The sequence below is a fragment of the Homo sapiens genome, chromosome 3 (assembly GCF_000001405.40).
Source record: "Homo sapiens chromosome 3, GRCh38.p14 Primary Assembly".
Lineage (NCBI taxonomy): Eukaryota > Metazoa > Chordata > Mammalia > Primates > Hominidae > Homo > Homo sapiens.
In genome coordinates, this window is record NC_000003.12 from 129,505,818 (window position 1) to 129,528,236 (window position 22,419).

At 53.9% G+C, this 22,419-nt stretch overlaps 1 protein-coding gene across 24 annotated transcripts in view, besides 3 other annotated features; it reads left to right on the forward strand.

The window, feature by feature from the left end:
- The window catches only part of IFT122 (intraflagellar transport 122), an 80,284-nt gene extending 65,594 nt beyond the window's left edge, over nt 1-14,690 (forward strand). For 12 of the 24 annotated variants that reach the window (NM_001280541.2, NM_001410808.1, XM_006713691.4 and 9 more), the window contains 9 exons: nt 592-732; nt 1,848-1,945; nt 6,495-6,595; nt 8,572-8,737; nt 9,671-9,782; nt 11,652-11,777; nt 13,290-13,369; nt 13,751-13,915; nt 14,359-14,690. In NM_001280541.2, the coding sequence (NP_001267470.1) occupies nt 592-732; nt 1,848-1,945; nt 6,495-6,595; nt 8,572-8,737; nt 9,671-9,782; nt 11,652-11,777; nt 13,290-13,369; nt 13,751-13,915; nt 14,359-14,448 (1,079 nt within the window). In that variant the 3' untranslated portion in view covers nt 14,449-14,690. Of the gene's footprint in view, nt 1-591; nt 733-900; nt 1,782-1,847; nt 1,946-6,494; nt 6,596-8,571; nt 8,738-9,670; nt 9,783-11,651; nt 11,778-13,289; nt 13,370-13,750; nt 13,916-14,358 lie in introns of those variants that run through there. The other 12 variants (NM_001280545.2, NM_052985.4, NM_052989.3 and 9 more) reach the window with 2 other exon arrangements.
- Nucleotides 20,375-20,575: a silencer, noted in NCBI's record as "peak4826 fragment used in MPRA reporter construct". NCBI's record gives its function as "represses an SCP1 promoter by STARR-seq MPRAs in K562 erythroleukemia cells {active_cell/tissue: K562}" and the evidence as "EXISTENCE:reporter gene assay evidence [ECO:0000049][PMID:32103011]".
- Nucleotides 20,913-21,016: a conserved region, noted in NCBI's record as "conserved region; well-conserved RER sequence with enhancer function for the orthologous bovine sequence". NCBI's record gives the evidence for it as "EXISTENCE:sequence alignment evidence [ECO:0000200][PMID:8576239, PMID:24301678]".
- Nucleotides 20,946-20,989: a conserved region, noted in NCBI's record as "conserved region; region of homology to the red/green opsin LCR 37 bp core". NCBI's record gives the evidence for it as "EXISTENCE:sequence alignment evidence [ECO:0000200][PMID:8576239]".

Below are 22,419 nucleotides of genomic sequence, written 5' to 3' on the forward strand. Positions count from 1 at the left end.
GGTCATTGAAAAGCAGTCATTTGAAGACAAACTGAGGACTTGAGTTGGGCTTGGTTCTGGGACCTTGGGTGTGACACTTTACCTCCATTTTGCAAAGCCCATTTCATTGCTCATAAAAAGGGGGATAATTTTCCTTCTTCATAAGTCTGTGGTGAGGATCCAGTGAGGTGATTAGCAACAAAAGCATTTTACCTCCAAGTGCAGTAAAGTGGCAGGTCCTGTTTCTATCACCTTAGGAGTCACAAAACTTTGCCCTGGAATGAGCAGGGGGCAGAACCTCACTGAAGATGAGCAAGTTTCACTCTTAGACTTTGCCCTGGAATTTGGCCCCTCCAGTTTTTCCTTTCTGCATGCTTTTCAAAGTCAGTCGCCTTTTCCCAGCCAAAAAGGAATTTATCTCACTGTACTTTTTCCAGGATGTAGCCTTGGTTATTTAGAGAAGCGCCATCCCAGCAACGAAGCACTGCAGATGCTCCAATGAGTGTCCTACTTCCAAAGCAGCCCTGTGCAAGCCCCACAGAGCTCCATCCTGCCTCCTGTGTGACTTCCTAAATAGCATGTGCTTTTTTCCTCCCTCCACCACTCCTACAGCGTTCCACAAGGCTGGGCGACAGAGAGAAGCGGTCCAGGTGCTGGAGCAGCTCACAAACAATGCCGTGGCGGAGAGCAGGTTTAATGATGCTGCCTATTATTACTGGATGCTGTCCATGCAGTGCCTCGATATAGCTCAAGGTGTGTAAACATCAGCCAGACCACTGTTTTCCCAAGCCCCACTCTGACACCAAGATAAACATCAGAAGAGCTGGGACATTTTAATTAAAGCCCTGGGCTTGTTTATTGGGTGTATTGTCCATAAGCCTGCCTTGCAGTGGCGTAATCTGGTGTATCATCTTTTTCCAGTTTGCCCATCAGAATGGTATGAGGACCGTCCTGGGGTTATGGTTGGCAGGTCCAGCCCTGCATTGCTAATTCAGAGCATATCTCTCCCCTGCTACCTGGGAGCCCATAGCTGGACCTGGGTGAGCACTGGGTTTTAAATTTTTTTAATTAAATGAGAAGATGAACGAGAGATGGCTTTACAGTAACACACTCCAGATTCTTACTCATCCCAGCCAGGAAAACAGTTTCAATATTGCTTTCTTTCACAAGACTTCCCATGATGTACTGAAGGAGTAGTGGAAGTGGAAGAGACAAGGAGATGTTCTTCTCCACTGGACAAGGCCACATGCAGGGGTGGGAAAAACACTGGCATGGAAGCTGCAGGTGACTTGTAGCAAGTCACAATCCTTCCTGAGCTCTGCATGCCCATCTGTCCTGTGGGAGTCCCTTGTCCTGGTCCCTTTGGTTGCTGGGAGCCTCACAGAGTCATGCTTACAGTTTGAAAATTGTCAAGCCTAGGTGTAAGGTCGCATTTTTCTGTTTGGGCCAGTGCCTTATGCTTCTGATAGGAGCAGCAGAGGGAAGAGGCATAAGATGAGCATGAATACAGTTGGTGTCTGCCTGCCTTTGTCCCAGCAGGCTCTTCCGACACATCTTGGGTCTTGCTGCAGCTGTCGCTCCCCCAGGGGAATAATCTGGGAGGGTGCAGTGAGAGATCTGGAAAAAATATCCTCAAACTCCCTGGCCTTATGCCCTGTCCACCTAAGAATTCACCATCCTGGAGTGGCCCTACTCCTAAGCAGAGTGGCTTTCCCCTCACTACACTTTGTCCCTCACCCTGGCACAGACACTGTGTGGTGGGAGAACTGATGCTGGGAAAAGTACTGTTGCCTGGCCCCTCCTCCTGGGGCCAGTTGGCAGCCACAGACACTGTTTGACACGTTTCCCCTCCCACCCGCTGCACACAGCAGATCCTGCCCAGAAGGACACAATGCTTGGCAAGTTCTACCACTTCCAGCGTTTGGCAGAGCTGTACCATGGTTACCATGCCATCCATCGCCACACGGTAAGGTGGCTGGGTCACCAGCACCTGAGGGTACCATCTCCTGAGCTAGGGGTCCCGGGCATATCTAAAGAGCAGCAGACTGGATGGAATGTAACCCACTGGTCACAGTGAACTGCTGAGGAATCTTGGTCTCCTCTGGGAAGAAAAAGTTTGAGTTTCTTTGATTGACTGTTTGTCTGCCATGCATCAAGCAGTGGGCTCCTGAATTGTGATCCAGAGCTGGAATGGGCCTTGCTAGTTCCTCAGTGCAGGCTTTGATGACTCAGGGAAACTCTGCATTAACCAGCAAGAGGGGTGGGAGTTCCATGAGGCCCTCTCCTTCAGTAGGGCGAAGGCCCAGATTAACCAAAGGCTCGAGATCCCTCCCTGGCCCTGTCAGTGATTTGTGTGTTCTTCAGCAATTCACTTTCCCTCTCTGTCCCTCAGTTTCCTTCTCTGTGAAACTAGAGTGTTGGCTTGGTCTCCAGAAACCCAAGTAGTTCTTTTTAGTCACTCCCTGATTCCTTTGAGAAAGCCATTTTAAATCTCTCTGGTGGCAATGGGGAACAGGTGATGGGTTGTCAACAGCCTCTTCATCCACTGTATCTCCTCAATCACCCAACAGATGTTGAGCACTTAGTACCTAGTAGGCAATGTACTGAGGGCTTCATTGTATCAAGTCATTTCCTCCTTTCAACCACACTTTGAGGGAAGGACTGTCACCCCCATGTTACAGATGAGAATGAAGCCCTAGACAGAGAGGTCTCAGAGGTTATTAGGTTGGTGCAAAAGTAATTGCGGTTTCAGACTGAATTTTAAATCATTATAACTAGGCTCAAACACATCTTTATTAATTAAAATAGGAACCATTATGATCAACACATTTTTGCCAATGAGAAATAAGTCTGTTTATTTCTGTAGCATAAAAATCCATACTTTGGGATTTGACGAACTCTTGGAAAGCATTTTCTGCATCCTGCTGGTTGTGGAAGCATTTTCCCTGCAAAAAGTTGTTGAGATGGTTGAAGAAGTGGTAGTTGGTTAGCAAGAGGTCAGGTGAATATTGCGATGAGGCAAAATTTTGAAGTATTGGTTGTGTGATGTGCAGTCAGGTGGGTGGAGAAGAATTGGGCCCTTTCTGTGAACCAGTGCCAGCTGCAGGTGTTGCAGTTTTCGGTGCATCTCCTCGATTTGCTGAGCATACTTCTCAAATGTAATCATTTCACCAGGATCAGACAACTGTAGTGGATCAGACCAGCAGCAGACCACCAAACAGTGATCATGACCTTTTTTTGGTGCAAGTTTGGCTTTGGGAACTGCTTTGGAGCTTTTTCTCAGTCCAGCCGTGGAGCTGGTCATCACGGTTGTCATGTAAAGTCCACTTTTTGTCACACCTCACATCTGATTGAGAAATGTTTTGTTGTTGTTGCATAGAATAAGAAAAGACAACACTTCAAAACGACTATATTTTCATTTTCTATCAGCTCATGAGGCACCCACTTATCAAGCTTTTTCACCTTCCCAATTTGCTTCAAATGCCAAACAACCGTAGAATGGTTGACATTGAGTTCTTCGGCAACTTCTCCTGTAGTTGTGAGAGGATCAGCTTCGATGATTGCTCTCGGTTGTTGTCAACTTCCAGTGGCCGGCCACTATGCTCCTCATCTTCAAGCCTCTCATCTCCTTTGCAAAACTTCTTGAACCACCACTGCACTGTATGTTTGTTAGCAGTTCCTGGGCCAAATGCGTTGTCGATGTTACGAGTTGTCTCTGTTGCTTTATGACCCATTTTGAACTCAAATAAGAAAACTGCTTGAATTTGTTTTTTGTCTAACATCATTTGCATAGTCTAAAATAAACAGTAAGTAATAACTCATTAGCAAAAAAACATAAAGCGAGAAATGCCCGTTGAAATGATGTATAACATAACCACATTTAAGAATGTATTCTACTATCAAACAGCAAATTCCAGAGCCAATATGTGAGTCTCAGTAGTCTGGCACTGGAGCCTGTGTTCCTAGCCTTTCCCTCCCTGTCTCCTTTTAGAGAAAGCAGGCTAGTATGTTGGTTTAGTGGGTAAACTCGAGAGTCCTCACACACAAATGACACTGTGTTACTTATCTTCTCTGGCCTTCAGCTTCTTTCTCTATAAAATAGGGATAACAGCACTATGTACTTGATGGGATTGTTTTGAGGATTAGACGAGTTAATATTGGAAGAGTACCTAGCACAGAGTGACCCTAGGTGGCAGCTATCCTTACTGCTGCTCCAGGCAAGGCTTCACGCCAGCTTTCCCTGACCTGCTCCCTCCAGCTGGGCATCTAGCATTTCTCTTTTTTCAGAGATGAGGTCTCTGTCGCCCAAGGTGGAGTGCAGTGTCATGATCATAGCTCATGGCAGCCTCAAACTGCTGGACTCAAGTGATCCTCCTGCCTGAGCCTCCCAGAGCACTGGGATTACAGGCATGAGCCACCACGCCCAGCCTTCCCGCCGTTCTTTGACCTCTCAAATGCCCTGCCTTCCACCTTGGGCATTTCTTTCCCTCTAATCTGTGCTGACTTCTCAGCACATTTTTTGCCTCTTGGGAAAGTCTGGCAAGAAGGACTCCTGACAGGCTCTGTGCATGCCGTCAGTCTAGTGTTACATCTCTTCCCACAGCAGGGTCAGTGGTCTCAAGGGACCTCATCTTCCCTTACAGTCTTTGGCTTTCCTGAAACGAGACCCCCTCAGGGTCCCTCATCTTTATCAGGTGCTCACCTGGAGAGAAACCACCACAAAAGGAGCCCAGACTCAACTTAGGCTGGAAGTCAGGGCCCAGCTCAGCCTCACTTTGCCCAAGCCACTCCAGAGCCTGGCTCTCAGCTCCTTCCCTCAGACTTTTCTCTCGCTGCTCCCTGTCCTCTTCCTCACCTGGGGCATGGGGCTGAGGGCTCCTGTCTCTAACAGCTGAGCTCTGCTCCAGGACCTACATGGGACTAGGAGCTAAGGGGCCTCAGACCAGCTGGGGCCCTGGCTCTTATCCCAGCTGAATCTTATTAATTGGGCCATTCCTTCATTCAATAAATGCCTACTACGTGACAGACCCTGTGATGAGACCTGGTGACACGGTGGTGAACAAAACGTTGTCCCTGCAGTCAGTCCCAGTCTAGCAAACAGGACAATCCCTCAGGGGAAACGTTTAGAGGCCTGTGAAGAGACTTCCTGGAGGAGGTGTCCTCTCAGCCAGAAGGAGGGAGAGAATAAAAATGGGGCAAGTGAAGTGGAGGAGGATTAGGAAGGGTGTTTGTGGCAAAGGTCACAGCCTGTGCAAAGGCCTGGAGGTGAGTGGTAGTTTGTGGTTCAGCATCCAGGGCCCAGCAGAGCAGCACTGATTCAGGGCAAGACTGGAAAGGGAAGTTCAGGTCCTTCCTGGATACATGGCATCTTTCCCAGAGGAAAGGACTCCCCTGCTACCTATTCTCTCTGGGACGTTACTTAGCTTCCCTACCTAGTGCAGTAGAACCACAGGCAGAGTTCATCTTGTTCTTACCCTGGAAAGGATGTGGTCTCAGGTTTTCTTGGGTTCTTGGAGCTAACAAAAGGTATAGAAATTTACGTGTGAACTAAATAGAAAATGCTAAGCTCTGAACTGAAGAAGTGTAGAGCAAAGTGAGTCCTCAGGAGTTCAGACCAATTAGGGGTTAAGCTTTGGTGGCTCAGTGATGAGTAGGGCCTCACAAGACCCTTCTTAAGTGCTCACAAGAAAGAGGAGTTACTGGCCTGCTGTAATCCTCACCATCTAAAGCTTTATTAGAAATGGGCAATCTCAGTTTATATACAGTGTGCCAGATGCCTTCAAAATAAGGTATTCTTAACCTTTTGTAGACCCTCACACAGAAAATTCCTTATTTGTCTGCTGAGCTTCTGGCAGCCTCTAGGTACGAAGACCAATCACTAATCTGTGCTAACTGCCTCCTGTTAGTGCCTATGCCAGGAGCCAGGGAAATGGGTCAGCAGTTGAGGAACTCCGCATGTGTGCTCGTTTGGTGGCACATCAGTCAAGCTGCTGTTGGAAAGCACAGAAGAGGCATGTGGGTTCATGCTGGAGAGGGCTAAATGCCTCTGTTGAAAGACAGGCTTATATGAATCAGTGGTTATGTCCTAAGCTGCATAGAAGGTCTTCTCTTTTAGAGCTAATTGGAGACAACTTGAGTAGTTCAGAGAAATGGAATAATTACCAACTCCAGAGGCAGTACAGCTTGGAAGAAAGACATTCTTGGGCTTTGGAATCAGACCTGGGTTTGAACAGCAGCTCAGCTCTGTTCTAGTTGGTGACTTGGGCAAATCATCTATCTAGGTGTCGGTTTCCTCATCAGTACTGTGAGGATAAAAATGCATACCACAAGGTTATTATGTTAAAGACCAGATGAGACAGTGGCTATATGGCGCTCAGCACACAGTAGGAGTAGGTGCTCAATAATCAGAGCCGCTCTTGTTGATGTCACTCAGAATTATTGGTGTCTGCCTTTTGGCCTGGCCCAGCAGCAGCTCTTGAAGAACTCAATCCCTGTTTGCTTTTCTCTCACTGCAGGAAGATCCGTTCAGTGTCCATCGTCCTGAAACTCTTTTCAACATCTCCAGGTTCCTGCTGCACAGCCTGCCCAAGGACACCCCCTCGGGCATCTCTAAAGTGTATCCTTTCTCTTATCCCTCCTCCGTCCCACCACCGTTCTTGTCTAATGGCCCCAAGAAATTCCTTCCAGAGCACTTTCCTGGCAGAACCTTCCTCTCTCAGCAACCCTCAGGGAAGACAGAGAACTCACCCTCCCGCTGCTGTTTGGCTATAGAGGCTCAGCAGGGAGGCCCAGGGGCCCAGGCCAAGAGAAGATGAGTTTTCAGGGCTCTCTGAGCTGAACCCAGCAGTGGGTCTCTGGCCAACACACTGTCCCAATCCCTCCTAGAACCCACAGATGAGGGTGTGACTGAAATGGAAGAAGCACCAGGCCTTCAGGCTTGGAACCTTGGGCACTTCTCCAGACTGGGGAGGAGGGAGTGTTTGTTCAGCCCAGGTATACATAGCACCTTCTGTGCCCCAAGCCCTGGGCCAGGCACCAGGTGGCAAAGCTGCCATCAAAGAGGGAGGTCACAAGTTAGGGTCTGGTTTGGTGGATGTGTGCTGTGTCTGAGGGTGGAATGAAGCTGAGGTCAGGGCCATGGTCAGGGAAGTTTACCTGGAGGAGGAGATGTCCATCATGCAAGCTGAGGCAGCCAGGGAAGATGGCCAAGTGGATGTTCCAGGGGAGGACCCAGCATATGGAGAGGCAAGCAAGGCATGTGGGAGAGGGTGAGGGGACCCTGGGTGGGAGGGGCCGGAGAGGCAGCAGGACCCAAGGCCTGAGAGCCTACCTTTGGGTTTTCCTCTCTTCTGTAGCCATCGAGGGCCACAGTGGTACCATAAGCAGAGCAGGTGCCTGAAGGGCCTGTGCAGCCAGATACTGGATCATTACCAGGCAATGATCCAGATTTTTAAGGTCTTGGATGTCAGGAGACATAATTGTCCCTGTTCTTTTCTAAATCTCACTGTACTCTCAGCTCCTTCCCAGCCGCAGCCCCACCTTCCCTCTGTAAGGAAAACCCACTCCACTGGAGAAGACCCAGAGCTCCTTGTTGTAAGAATTGGCCTCGCTAGAGGATTCCAGGCCCATTATGTACATTTCAGGGGAAATACCCTCAAATCAAGGGGTGCCTTCCTGGAGTCAGACCTCTGCTGCATGCGTCTCCGTCTTTCCCCGTAGGAGCAGTCAGGGCTATGCCTGTGGGGGCTGAGCACCTGTACTCATCCTTTCCAGCAAGTTCTGTTTGAGTCAACAGCTTGATAGAACCTCTACCCTGAGCCTTACCCTGTGCCATCCCCTGGGGACCTGGAAATGGCTCCTGACAGTCCCTGACTTTGAGGAGTCATGCTGGAGACACAGAAGGAAACTCTCCACAGAACTGCTGAAGTGGACGGGGCTGCACTGCAGACGGCGGGAGCAGGAACACTGGGAGAGATGCGGGAGGAAGGGCAGGAGGGCCTGGGGGCAGCCAACATCGGAGGTGACCTGAGAGGAGAGCACAAAGGCTCGTCAGCCTCTGGCTGAGGAGCTTCAAGGGGGCCCCAGAGCACAGGCTGCCGCTCAGAAACTGCCCACCAGGCCCTCGGGGAAGGGTGTGCAGACAGAGTGGGGTACACCCAGGGGCCTCAGAGCAGGGTTGAGGGTGGCTCCCCAGGGAGTCTGGACCAGGCCCCACCTGGCAGGGTGAGAGCAGAGTGCCCTTTGTGCCAGGCATCCTAGGAGGGCCTGGCTGGCAGGTTTGGTGAGGCAGGAAGAGCCATTTTGGCCTAGTCAGGGTATAAGATGAGCCATCAGCAGGCCCAGAGATGCTAAGCAAGGTTAAAGTATTAATGGAAACTACGCTGTTTTTATCTTTGGAAAAATTCCTGGGCCTTGCCATCCGAGAAGTACACTCACCTCTCACAAGCGCACAGAGCCTTCCTCACGGTCTTTCCTCTGCCTTCCCGGCACCAGCACAAGCTGTGTTCCAGCCTGGGGCTCACTCCAAGGACAGGCAGTGCCAGCTCCTGGGCCTGGTGTTGCCCCTGCTGTCCTTAACCCTGTTCACGGCAGGAAAATACTCTTCACCTTGGCCAAGCAGAGCAAGGCCCTCGGTGCCTACAGGCTGGCCCGGCACGCCTATGACAAGCTGCGTGGCCTGTACATCCCTGCCAGATTCCAAAAGTCCATTGAGCTGGGTACCCTGACCATCCGCGCCAAGCCCTTCCACGACAGTGAGGTGAGGATGCAGCACCCTTGGGCAGGTGGCTTCTCCTCTCCCTTGAGGCCATCTCATGCCTTCTTGCCTGGCCTGGGTTCCGTTTGAAGAGAGACAGCTGCAGCTCCCTCTAGGCTCTGTGCCCCCTGCTCAAGCCTGGCCATGCCAGCTCCCCTGTGCTTCCCTGTCCACCTCCTGTTCTCCCCGCAGTCCACCTGGCGCCCGCTCACAGCCCCCGGCCCCGGCCTCAGCCCTCAGCCTGGCCTCCCTTGCTCCTTGCCCTCCCCTAGGCAAGCCCCACACCTCTGTGCCCAGGTGGCTCTGCCTTTACCCCAGGCCTGGCCCCAGAGCTGACTCTTACTCTAGAAACCTCTGCCCTTTCTGGAACCAGGCTGTAGTTCTCCAGCAAATCTACCCCACACTCCCAACCCACATTCCTTCAACCCAGCCAGCTTCCTTCTTTCACACATCCTCCCTCAAGCTCAGAGCAAGGACTTGGTTCAGACAGACCTGGGTTCACATCCCGGCTCCACCCTCTCCTAGCTCTGTCTCCATCTTTCTGCACCTTGGGTTCCCCCTTTCCCACAGGTAGTTGTGAGGCTAAATGAGCCAGTATAGTCCACGTGCTCCGCACGGTGCCCGGAGCATGGTAAATGGCTGGCTAATGGTGGCAGCGGCCACTGTCATTCCTGCCAGGGGAAAAGTGCCGTTGAGCGCTGCCTGTGCAGGTGTCTTGGGCACGGGGACCCAAGTGACAGGGCTTGGGTATTTCGGCAGGCCTTTATCCTGCTTCCCCATGGCATGGAGCTCCTGGGCCCGGCGCCCCTTCCCTGCCTGCCCACCCGGGTGGCCTTTCCTCTTGGCAGCCAGGCCCCAGGGGCCTGAAGCCAGAGTCCAGGGGGAGGAGGACACGTGCCTGCCCCGGCCCCTCGGGAGTCCGTGGCTGTTTTGTAGGAGTTGGTGCCCTTGTGCTACCGCTGCTCCACCAACAACCCGCTGCTCAACAACCTGGGCAACGTCTGCATCAACTGCCGCCAGCCCTTCATCTTCTCCGCCTCTTCCTACGGTGAGTCCCTGCATCCTGAGCATGTGGGTGGGACAGCCTGTGGACAGCCAGGCTCACTCCACTGCTCTCTGGCCTCAGGACGTTGGGCAAGGGCCAAAGGCCTCTGAATGTCCCTGTTTATGAAATGAGGACACTCTGACGCCCACCTACCTGACACAAGGAGTCACTGTCGGTGTTCCCAGAGATAGGACCCACTGCTGCCCAAAGCTGAAGCACCCACTCTGGGAACCTGGCGCAGGGCTTTACATAACCAAATGCCCCAGAAAGAGAGTCCGATGGCTTTGCATTCAGACCAGGAGGCTGAGATAGGTTATCAAGGCCCAGCTCCTTTGATGTTGACAGAGGATCAGAAGCCCCTTCCCAGGAGCTGAGCAGAGGCCACACACACACACAGACACACACGCACACACAGACTGCCCCTGCACACACACACATACAGAAACTGCCCCTGCACACACACACACAGACTGTCCCTGAACACACACACAGACTGCTCCTGCACACACACACACAGACTGCCCCTGCACACACAGAGACTGCCCCTGCACACACACACAGAGACCGCCCCTGCACACACACACACAGAAACCGCCCCTGCACACACACGGAGACTGCCTCTGCACACACACACAGACTGCCCCTGCGTGCACACACAGACTGCCCCTACACACACACAGATTGCTCCTGCACACACACACACACACACACAGAGACTGCCCCTGCACACACACAGAGACTGCCCCTGCACACACACACAGAGACTGCCCCTGCACACACACACAGAGACTGCTCCTGCACACACATACAGAGACTGCCCCTGCACACACACACAGACTGCCCCTGCCCACACACACAGAGACCGCCCCTGCACACACACATGGAGACTGCCCCTGCACACACACATGGAGACTGCCCCTGCGTGCACACACAGAGACTGCCCCTGCACACACACAGATTGCTCCTGCACACACACACACACAGAGAGACTGCCCCTGCACACACACAGAGACTGCCCCTGCACACACACACACACACGGAGACTGCCCCTACACACACACACAGAAACTGCCCCTGCACACACACAGATTGCTCCTGCACACACACACACACACACACACACACACACAGAGAGACTGCCCCTGCACACACACACACAGACTGCCCCTGCACACAGACACACAGAGACCGCTCCTGCACACACACAGAGACTGCCCCTGCACACACACACAGAGACTGCCCCTGCACACACACACACACAGAGGCTGCCCCTGCACACACACAGACCGCTCCTGCACACAGACACACAGAGACCGCTCCTGCACACACACGGAGACTGCCCCTGCACACACACAGAGACTGCCCCTACACACACACACACAGACTGCCCCTGCACACACACACACACAGAAACTGCCCCTGCACACACACAGATTGCTCCTGCACACACACACACACACACACAGACTGCCCCTGCACACACACACAGAGACTGCCCCTGCACACAGACACACAGAGACCGCTCCTGCACACACACATGGAGACTGCCCCTGCACACACACGGAGACTGCCTCTGCACACACACAGAGACTGCCCCTACACACACACACAGACTGCCCCTGCACACACACACACACAGAAACTGCCCCTGCACACACACACATTGCTCCTGCACACACACACACACACACACACACACACACACAGAGACTGCTCCTGCACACACATACAGAGACTGCCCCTGCTGCCTCTTCTTGCTTTTGGTGAAGCTGCCAGTGGGTTGAGAAGCAACTCTGTGGTCACCCCACCTGCCTGGCGGCAAGTCCTTTGCAAGGCCTCCAGCCCCCTCAGCCCTTTCTCTATGCCCTCCAGACGTGCTACACCTGGTTGAGTTCTACCTGGAGGAAGGGATCACTGATGAAGAAGCCATCTCCCTCATCGACCTGGAGGTGCTGAGACCCAAGCGGGATGACAGACAGCTAGAGATTGCAAACAACAGTATCCATGCCCTTGGCCAGAGCCTGTGTGTGCGGCTGTGTGAGGGGTCTGGGGACAGGCGGGAAGTAGGAGGGCCCAGTCCCAGGGGATCGCGGGCCATGCTGAGCCTGGCCCTGTGTTCCCAGAGAGATTGGAGAGGCCCACATGGGACAGGGACAGGGATCAGAGATGGGCAGACAGCTGGCCAGGGCCTAAGGACCCAGAAGTGGCAAGTGGCACCTTGGTCTTCCCGTGTGGGTCTCCCACCCTCCCCTGACCCCTAAAAGGCACTGGCTGTGCCTCTGTCTGTGCATAGCTCCTGCATAGCCAACATGGGACATGATGTCATGATGTCGGTGTTGGCCCCCAGCTCTTCCACTCAAGTCACTTTCGCATGCAAGTGACAGAGTCCAAAACTGACAAGCTGAACAAGCAAAGGGTGTGCAAGGAAGCCCCAAGCAGGAGAGGAAGCTTCCTGGCCCAGCGCTCAGTCTGGTCGGTCACAGGCTGGCTCTGCCTCTCTTGGCCGCACTGTCCTCTGGGCAACTTCATTCTTTGGCAGCCCCGTGGTGCCCCCATAACACAGAGATGTCAGGAGCAGTGCCAGCCCCACATCCCCTCAGCCTTATAGCCCCCAGAAACAGCCAGCTTTCCTCTCAGCTGTGGCAGTGAAAGCCCCGGGGCACAGCTCAGCCTGCCCCTTGGCCAGGAGGATGCACCAGGGCAGTTGTCCAGGGCAGGCCACACTTGCAGGCTGGACATGGGAGGGGCTTCTGGCAGGGAACAGCACACACGTGGCCTGAGGCCTCGCTCCCTTGCACTGACTGAGTCTGCAGGCCTGGGGGCTGTAAGCCTGCCTTCCTTGCAGCTCCCAGGTGCTGCCACCCCCAGGGGCCACACTGGGAGGAGGGAAGCTCAGAGAGCTGCTTGCTGAAGGAAAGACGGACCCATCTCTGCCACCCAGGCTCCCTCAGGTGCCACAGATGATATGTGCTATGGTGCTGGCAGGTGGGTGCTGTGCCCACTCCAACTTGGTACCAGCAGTCCCCATGTCCTGGGCCTCCCTGCAGGACCCCTGCTGGCCTCTGTTACCAGCCCCACCACTGTGGGAGAGGGGCGGTTTCCAGGGACCTCCAGGTGAGTCTGACCCGCCCTGGGGTCAGCAGGGACTCTCGCCCCTGTCTGCTCCATCACAAGTGCCCGCAGACCCCCAGCAGCCACTGAATGTTTCTCCAGGATCCCTGGGCCCATCCCCTCCGTGCCTACCCGCAGTGGCTCACAGGGCCCGCATGTGCTTCCCACTGGCCCTGGGAGCTATGGTGTGTGTGGCCTGCGAGGGGAATGGGTGAGGGCAGCAGGGCCAGCAGAGTCCCTTCCTTCTGATTCCTTGGCCTGAGCCCCCTCTGTTCCTCCACCTGGAAAACTCTTCCACTGGTCTGGCTGCCCTTGAGTCTTCTCACAGGGGTGTAGGGTGGAGGCTAGGGTCTGTCTCCATCTCTGCTTCTGATTCCATCCTTGACCAGATCCCTCCAGGCTCCCAGATTCTGCGGCTAGTGGAGACCAAGGACTCCATCGGAGATGAGGACCCGTTCACAGCTAAGCTGAGCTTTGAGGTGAGGGTGCCTCTCTGGGTGACCTGCAGGAGGGCAGCCTCCATCCCTTCTCCTGTGCACATGGGGACCCTCAGCTAGCGCAGTGGTGGAGGAGGATTGGCCAGAACTTCCAGATGTGGTGGCACGAAGGAGGGGCAGGACCCCTTCCTGTGGGGTGTGGGAGCCATGGCTGCCCCCGAGGGACCATGGCCAAGGGCGCAGGTCTGTGGACAGGGAGGCAGCTTCAGCTCTGGTGGGAGGAGCTTGCCACTGTTAGGGTCACCTGGGTTTAGGAAGCAGGTCCTCTCTCACCACTGCCAAAGATTCCAGGATCATAATCCACACAGATGTCTCACTGTGGCTGAGTGAGGACACTGTGCCTCCTTCCCGCCCACCCTGCAGCAAGGTGGCTCAGAGTTCGTGCCAGTGGTGGTGAGCCGGCTGGTGCTGCGCTCCATGAGCCGCCGGGATGTCCTCATCAAGCGATGGCCCCCACCCCTGAGGTGGCAATACTTCCGCTCACTGCTGCCTGACGCCTCCATTACCATGTGCCCCTCCTGCTTCCAGGTAGGTGGCCACCCTGGTAGCTCACATGTGCTTCTCTTGGCCACTTTTCCCTTGCCCAAATGTCCCTCTGGGAGGCGTGGCCCCTGGGAGGAGGGGCACATCCATGGCTCCAAGTTGGGACAGAGGCTTGTCTGTCCTCTCCCCTGCTTGCATTCCATGTGCATCTAAAGTGGACTTCACTGGCCCCTGCGCTGTCCACATCCTCCCCAAATCCTGGGGGCCCAGCAAGCGTGATGTGCCCTTGACCTTCACTCAGAAAACAAGAAACCCCACAGCCCCCTCCCATCTCCCCTTCCAGCCCTCAAACAAAGGTGCTGCAGGTCTGTGTCCAGCCCTGACCACTGCCAAGCCCCCTCCCCTTGAGAGGCAGTGCGTCCTGGCCCCAGGCGTAGGGCTGATGAGCACTAGGGCTTCAGCCTGGTCTTACAGCTGTCTTCCCTTAGATGTTCCATTCTGAGGACTATGAGTTGCTGGTGCTTCAGCATGGCTGCTGCCCCTACTGCCGCAGGTGCAAGGATGACCCTGGCCCATGACCAGCATCCTGGGGACGGCCTGCACCCTCTGCCCGCCTTGGGGTCTGCTGGGCTGTGAAGGAGAATAAAGAGTTAAACTGTCAGAATGTGTTTCTTGCCCAGATGAAGTTTGTGTTTTGTGGGGGGGGCCTTGTGTAACCACGGAATTCCTATTTATGGCATTTCATGCCTTGTAAATAGCACCAGGAGATGAGGAAGAGAATGTACATATATTTTCTAAGGAAAAAAATCTGTTACTTTCAGAACGGCTCCGAGTTGTTCGTGGCAGCCTGCTGGAGTCCGCCGATCTGTCAGACCGTTAGCATGTACATTTTGCCAACAGATTGCCTCAATAATGACAAAAGGGCTCCTTATTTTCATCAGCATCTACATTTTAGCAAATCATCTTATTGTCTGCAACTTAATTTCCGTATGCAAAAGTGCACCTGTTTCTAATTTGAAAGGAACATTACATTTGTGTGCTCTTAACATTTAATCAAAATGGCAATATAGAAAGGGGTGGGGGAGCAGGGGGTTTTTTTGTTTATTTATTTTGATTTAATGGGGATCCATCTTGACAAGAGAAAATACGTGGGTCCAAAGAAGATGGCAGGAGTTTAAAAAAAGGCTCCTGTTTGGTAGCCCAGTCAAGGCTCCTGTCCAGGCTCTGGAGCCGCCCTCTTCCATCCACCTTCCCCAGCCCCACAGAGCAGCCCCAGCCCAATGGAGACTCTTCCCTTTGGAACAGCTCCTTAAGCAGGGGGTTTCCGTTTGAGATTCCAGACTGCCAAGGTCTGTTCCCTCAGGCATCACTGGTGTCCAGTCCAACAGCTTGAGGGCATGGAAGGAACAGCACACAGAAGCTAAGGAGAACTCACATGTATGGGGGACGTTTTTGGCACCAGCCACGTTCCATGCTGTCTCAGGCCTCTCAGCAGCCCTGTGAAGGAAGAGTTATGATTTCCAGTGGGGCTGGGAAGGGGGTTGCCAGGGCCCAGGGGCTGCCTCCAGCCCTGGGAGGGGCGGCCCATGATGTGTCCAGCCCCAAGGCCCTGCCCCTTTCACCCCCAGTCCACCTGCCAGAGGTGGCAATGCAGCACTTCATGAAAAGCCCAAGAACAGCTGGCACAGGCAGGAGAGAGGGTGTGGGCTGTCATGCCATGCCGAAACGCACCCTCCCCTCGTGCTGCAGTATTGATTCCTTACAACCTACCTGTGCAGGGGTCAGGGCAGGGCAAATATGCCCACTGGAGGGACGCAGACACTGAGACCCCAAGGAGAGTGGCTGCAGAGGCCCCCAGTGGGAAGTGTCGGAGCTAGAGCCCCATCCCAGAGCCCTTGCCCCACCCCAGACCGCCCCTCCTCCCTGCCTCCCTCCGCATCTCTCTGGAGATGATGGAGGAAAATAAAGAAAGGGAGCCAGACAGTTGTGCCAACAGAACTCCTCCGTCGAGTGTCTAATTACTTACCATCATGCATGCGCTCTCTCACTAAACATTTATTAATGTGTTAGGATTTCCATTAGCGCATGACTTCAACTGAAATCATTTGCATATGGCTGGGAAAAAGGGGAGAGGGAGAAAACAGCTCCAGCTACCCAGCAGTCAATCACAGTGACAGATCAGATGGTCCCTGGCTGGAGGCAGGGGAGGGTTCCAGCCGAGACTCCAGCATGCATCCCCTCAGCCGAAGAACACAAAAATGAGTGTGCTGTGCCGGGCTCTGCTGCCCCAGGAAGCTCAGCTCTAGAGGCCTGAGTAGGACCCCTATTCATTCAGATGCACTTTCCGTGCATCATCCAAGGCTGCCTATTACACAGGTGATGACACTGAGCCTCAGTCATGTTATTTTTCATTCAGCAAATATGCATTAAGCCAAGGCATATTTGGTCGCACCTGGGTGCAACCTTTGTGCATAAGCCCTGTGTCTGGCTGCTTTTCTCTCTCAGCCTGATCTGGGTCTGAACCAAGTCCAGTCTTTTCTCCAAGGCTGTTTCCCCATCTGCACAAAAGGGCCCCCTCCAGCTCTGACTCTGAGGTTCCAGCCTCAGTCTGCGTCTGTGAACAGCGCTGGATGATGATCCTGTTGACCCCTCAAGTGCCTGTGACAAGGAAGGCACCACAGGGACCTGGTGATGCCCATTGAACTAAGAGGACACTGAGGCCAGAGAGGAGCAGCTGCTGAAGGCTGCACGGTGGGGCAGTGATTCTGGCCTTTAGCCTGTAGTCCCAACTACTCAGGAGGCTGAGGTGGAAGGATCAATTGAGCCAAGGACAGGAATTCAAGGCTGCAGTAAGCTATGATTGCACCACTGCACTCCAGCCTGGGCAACAGAGCAACATTCATCTCTAAACAACATTTAAAAATTGTTTTAAGAAGACAAATGAGATAACTGTTGATCGTAATGGCTGTGTAAAAACTGAACATGGCTGGGTGTGGTCGCTCACACCTGTAATCTCAGCACTTTGGGAGGCCAAGGCAGGAGGATCGCTTGAGCCGGGAGTTAGAGACCAGCTCAGACAATATAGGGAGACCCCATCTGACTGGGACTGGTCCTGATCTCTCATCTCCAAGTGCTCAACATTGTGCCCATGTTCTTGGAAGGAGGAAGTAAGGGAGAGGTAGACTGAGCAGCCTCAGGTGGACCTGACTGGAGACGCACCTCAGGCAGCTGGAGGTCCCCGGGCCTTGGTTTCCCATCTGTCCCCAGCAAGGCTGTGAAGCTAGGAGCCCCTGGTGGCTGTCACACAGGTGGGCAGAGGCCCCTCCTCCAAGGTCGCTCTGTGTCTCTTCCCTGGCTTGGAGTCTGTGTGCCCACAGCAGAGGCCACCACTGGGCAGGGTGCTTACCCCGAGCCTCCCTGATTCTCCCCCTGCAGATCCAGAACACTGGCCTGGTATGGAGACCTCGTCATGGCCCTCCCTGCTTGCCACCCGCAGTAGCTGCCCATGCAATTCAGCCAACACCCAGACCCCTAGGCCTGCCCTCTATCCCCAGCACGCCACCCTGGGGGGCCCAGCACCTCCAGGCCCAGCTGGCCCTCCCTACCTGCCCTGCTTGGGAGACTCTTTTGACCCTCCTGGTCCACCTTTTGCTCCTCTGGGCTCCCACAGCACTGGGACTGGGAGAAAATGCTCATCTCTCATGTTTAGTTTCCGATCAGTACCCCCTGAGACTGGGAGCCCCTTGAAAGCAGGAACCATGTGGGATCCACCTCAGCGTCCCCAGGGCCTGGCGCATATAAGGAGTTTGGCAAATGCTAGGGTAGAAAAGAGAAAGAGGAAGGAGGGAATGAGAGCTGGTCTTTCTCCCTCCCTTATTCCCCCTTGATGCTCTCAGTACCGCTGAAGGCCTCATGTAGCCTTGGTGACGCAGCCTGGTGGGGCTGAGCCATGTGGGGGACCAGGAGAAAGAAAGCCAAGGAAGAGGAGGAGGAGGAGGAGAAGGAGGAGAAGGATGCTGACCTAGCAGCTCCTCTCACAGCAGCTCCTCTCTTGCAGAGGCTGAAGAGCGATTTGTGCCCTGCAAGCTAAGCCCCTAATCCACCGAGGCAAAGGCAAAGCCCCTAGCCGGGCTCCCGAGGGCTGGGACTCGGGTGCCCCAAGATGGCTGCATCCAGCCATCTTGGCTTAGAAAGCCCCCCACATGCCAGCTTGGCCAACACCCACACCATGGGTTTCTCTGGACTGCCCGACACAAGGTGTGGGTGCTGGCCAGGCCTGTGTTCAAATCCCAGCTCTGCAGAGGAACTTTGACCCTGCATACCCCAGATTCCTCAGTGGTCAGTGGGGAGTTAGACCCTCTTCATAGGGGGCAGGAGGAGTTGTTCATTCATTCAACAAATGTTTATTGAACACCTCCTATGGGTTGTGAGCTCAGAGGCAGCGATGAACAGGCCAGGCTGGTCCTGCATTCTAGAAATAGATGGGAAGTCAGTCAATAAGTAGACAAATGAGGCCAGGTGTGGTGGCATGCCTGTAGACCCAGTTACTCGGGATGCTGAGGTAGGAGGATCACTTGAGCCTAGGACAGGAATTCAAGGCTGCAGTAAGCTATGATTGCGCCACTGCACTCCAGCCTGGGCAACAGAGCAAGACTCATCTCTAAAAAACATTTAAAAATTGTTTTAAGAAGACAAATGAGATAGTCGCTGATGGTAATGACTGTGTAAAAACTGAACATGGCTGGGTGTGGTTGCTCACACCTATAATCTCAGCACTTTGGGAGGCTGAGATTACAGCCTCCCAAGTGGCTCCCAAGGCAGGAGGATCACTTGAGCCTGGGAGTTAGAGAACAGCTTGGACAATATAGGGAGAGCCCAACTCTACAAAAATGAAAATAAATTAGCCAGGCATGGTGGCACACACCAATGGTCCCAGCTACTCAGGGGTTGAGGTGGTGGACCGCTTGAGCCCAGGAGGTTGAGGCTGCAGTGAGCCATGATCATGCCGCTGCACTCCAACCTGAGTCACAGAGTGATACCCTGTCTCAAAAAACAATAGGCCAGGTGTGGTGGCTCACGCCTGTAACCCCAGCACTTTGGGAGGCCGAGGCGGATGGATCACTTGAGATCAGGAGTTAGAGACCAGCCTGGCTAACATGGCAAAATCCTGTCTGTACTAAAAATATAAAAATTAGCCAGGCATGGCAGTACATGCCTGTAGTCCTGGTTACTTGGGAGGCTAAGGCAGGAGAATCGCTTGAACCCAGGAAGAGGAGGTTGCAGTGAGCCAAGATCACACCACTGCACTCCAGCTTGGGTGACAGAGTGAGACCCTGTCTCAAAACAGCTAAACCTGGTGGGGGTGCCTGGTGTGTAGGATGGTCAGGGGTGGTCTCTCCAAGGACATGAGTGTGAGCGGAGACCTGAAGGAGACTCAGGAAGAGATTAATACTGTCAGCAACAAATATATTGATCACTTACAAGCACTCCCAATAATCCTATTAGGTAGGCACTATTATCATTCCCATTTTACAGAGTGGAGAACCGAAGCACACTCTCGGGAGGGCGGGGTAGCTGGCTGCACCCAGGCTGTGTAGCCTCAGTCCAGATGTAAGGGTGGGTGGAAAAGAGCCTTGCCCAATGAGGGAGAACAGTGAAACCAAGGCCATAGGGTCTAAAGATTCACGAACCAGGCTCTCATGGAGAAAGCAGGTGAGGTTTACTGTATAGATGGGTGTGCCCCTACCCCACACTGAGGCTTCCTCGTCTGAGCAAACTGAGGCCCAGAGAGGGGAAGGAAGCAGGACTACCATGGTGACTCAAAGACCAGCTAGAATCCAGCCTCCTCTCCTCGAGGCTTCCACTGCCCCACGCCAGGCCTGTGTGACTCAGTCTAGGGCCTTTCCATTACCCCAGCTAAACCTTTCTTTAGTCATTTATACCATGGTGTGAATGGCTGGCTGGTCTTTCCTGAGAGCTATCTTTGATGAGGGGAGGGAGGCATAGCCAGGTTTGGGAAGCTGATACCCCAGGAAGCCCAGTTGACTGTGTGGGTTATAGCCCAGGCTGTCACTGATTTGTAACGGGACCTGAGCAACTCTGCAGAGCTAGGCCTCAGTCTTTTCATCTGCAAAATGGATATAGCAGAGATGGTCAGAGTAGGTGACTTCGAATGACCCTTCCAGCTCACTATGAGTCTGTTTTCCTGAACAAAGAGCATTTTTTGTTTAAAAAAAAATTTCTTGGGCCGGACACGGTGGTTCACTCCTATAATCCTGGCACTTTGGGAGGCCGAGGAGGGTGGATCGCTTGAGCCAGGAGTTCAGGACCAGCCTGGGCAACATAGCGAGACTCCACCCCTACAAAAAATACAAAAACTAGTGGTGTGCACTTGTGGTCCCAGCTACTCAGGAGGCTGAGGTGAGAGGATCGCTTGAGCCCAGGAGGCAGAGGCTACAGTGAGCTATGATTGTGGCACTGCACTCCAGCCTGGGCGACAGAGACCTTGTCTCAAAACTTTTTTTTTCTTCGTCAAGCTTTACAGAATAAAGAGCACTGTCACCTCAGTGATGGCTGTTAGTTCCCCATCACCAGGGCTCCATGAGGTTGCAATTGTGAAACTCACAAAGGAGGAACCTGAGACAGAGAGGGGAAGTACTGAGATCATCTAGGTCCATTCCCCCACTCACTCGTTCATTCAACAAATATTCAGGAGCACCTTCTAGGTGCCAGGCCCTGGAGACACATCAGTGAACAAAACAGACATCATCCCACCTCTTTCCACTACAGGCCAAGCACCATGCTGGTCTCTGGGAACCCTGTTGTGAGCAAGACAGACCCAGGCTTACCCTTGTGGACTCATGTTACAGGCAGGGAGACGGGCACAAAACACAAATAAAAAGCTTCCATGCTGTCAGAAGCACTATGCAAAAAGCAAGATGCTGAGGTACTGCTAAGCTGTGTGGGATGGGGGCTCAGCCCGGCCAGGGAGGGGCCAGTTGTGGGTCAGTCTTGACCCAAGGCATCCAGGACACCCTCCTTCTGGCCATGAGGGTCCACGTCAGAATCAAACCCTCACCTTAACCTCATTAGCGTTGGGCATAATCACCAGGCCAAGCGCCTTAAACTACGAGAGGCCCCATCCCACCCGCCCTGCCTTAGCCCTGCCACGTGTGCCAAACGCTGTTAGACCCAACACCACCCAGGCCAGGTAGGGGGCTGGAGCCCAGGTGGGCTGCAGGGAAGGGGGCACTCTTCTGAGCAGACAGATCTGGGAATCCTGGGTGGGAAGAGAGACAGTGAGAGAGAGATTAAGGGATATTTCCCAGGCATCAGGGCTTTGCACTCTCAGGGGTCCTTCCGCCTGGATGTCCTTCCCCTGAAGCTTCCTCCTGTTGTTCCGTTCTCAGCTCAAGCTCCAGCTTCTCAGAGAAGCCTCCTGTGTTGGGAGTGGCTGCGACTGAACTGTCCCTACTGTTATTCGCTCTTCTATTTGTTTGTGGTCCCTGTGCCCCCTCACCCCACAAAAACACTGGCTTCTTGTGAGCAGGAGCTTGCTCTTTCGTGTACCCTGTGTGTCCCCAAGGACCAAGCACCTTGTCTGGGCCACAGTAGGTGCTCAATACACATGTTGGCTGGACAGTGGTCACTGAGCGGCCGCACGTCGGGCACTCTCAGCACTTGCACAGGCCGCCCCAGACACCCCACTTCATTCCTGGGAGGTGTCATCATGTTGCTTGGACGACGGGGAGAGGGGGACCTGCCAGTGTTGGCCTCCATTTTCCCCCAGTCATCTGCCCCCAAGGCTCTGACTACTTTCTTTCTCACGGTACATCCTGCTATTCTGGAATCGGCCCTCGTGGGGCCACCTGGTACATGGCATTTGAGGCCCTCGTGGCTGATTAGGCCTCCCCCAACAGTGCCCTGTCTGCTGCCTCCAGGGCCAGCCTCCCCTTCAGACTGGAGTCCCCTGAAGGGTTCTGCCCCTCCCCTGCTCTGGTAGCCCCCTCCATCCTCCCTCCCTCCACTCCATCTTTGGGGGCATTTGAGTCACCTTTCTACACCAGTGATCTGCCCAAGCCACTGCTCACTTTCCTCTGGATAAAGCCAGGTTCCCCGGCCTAGCGTTCAAGACCCATTACAACTGCCCCCAGCCCAGATCTTCCCCACCTAGCCACCTGGCAAACTGCTCCTTCTCTCAAAGGCCCAAACATGGCCTCCCAGACTGCAACCCCCAGGCAGTCAGGCCCTGTCTCCACAACCTCACAGCCACCCTGGACGGAATCTGCTTCTTCCCACATTTGAGTCCTCCTCAGCCCCTGAGCTCCTCTGGGCAGGGCTGTTTCTTTCCATCTTTGTATTCCCAGGGGCCTGCAAATAAATGTTTAATGAACGAACAAGAGAGTGAATTCCAATTCCATGCAACAAGGATTGGGCTCCTGGGCCCTAGGCTATGTGTCTGGCACCAGAAACGGAAGCTGCAGGTTGCAGCCCCTGCCCTCATGGAGCTCCTCCTGTCAGAGGAGTGTGGGGACTGGATGACTCCAGAG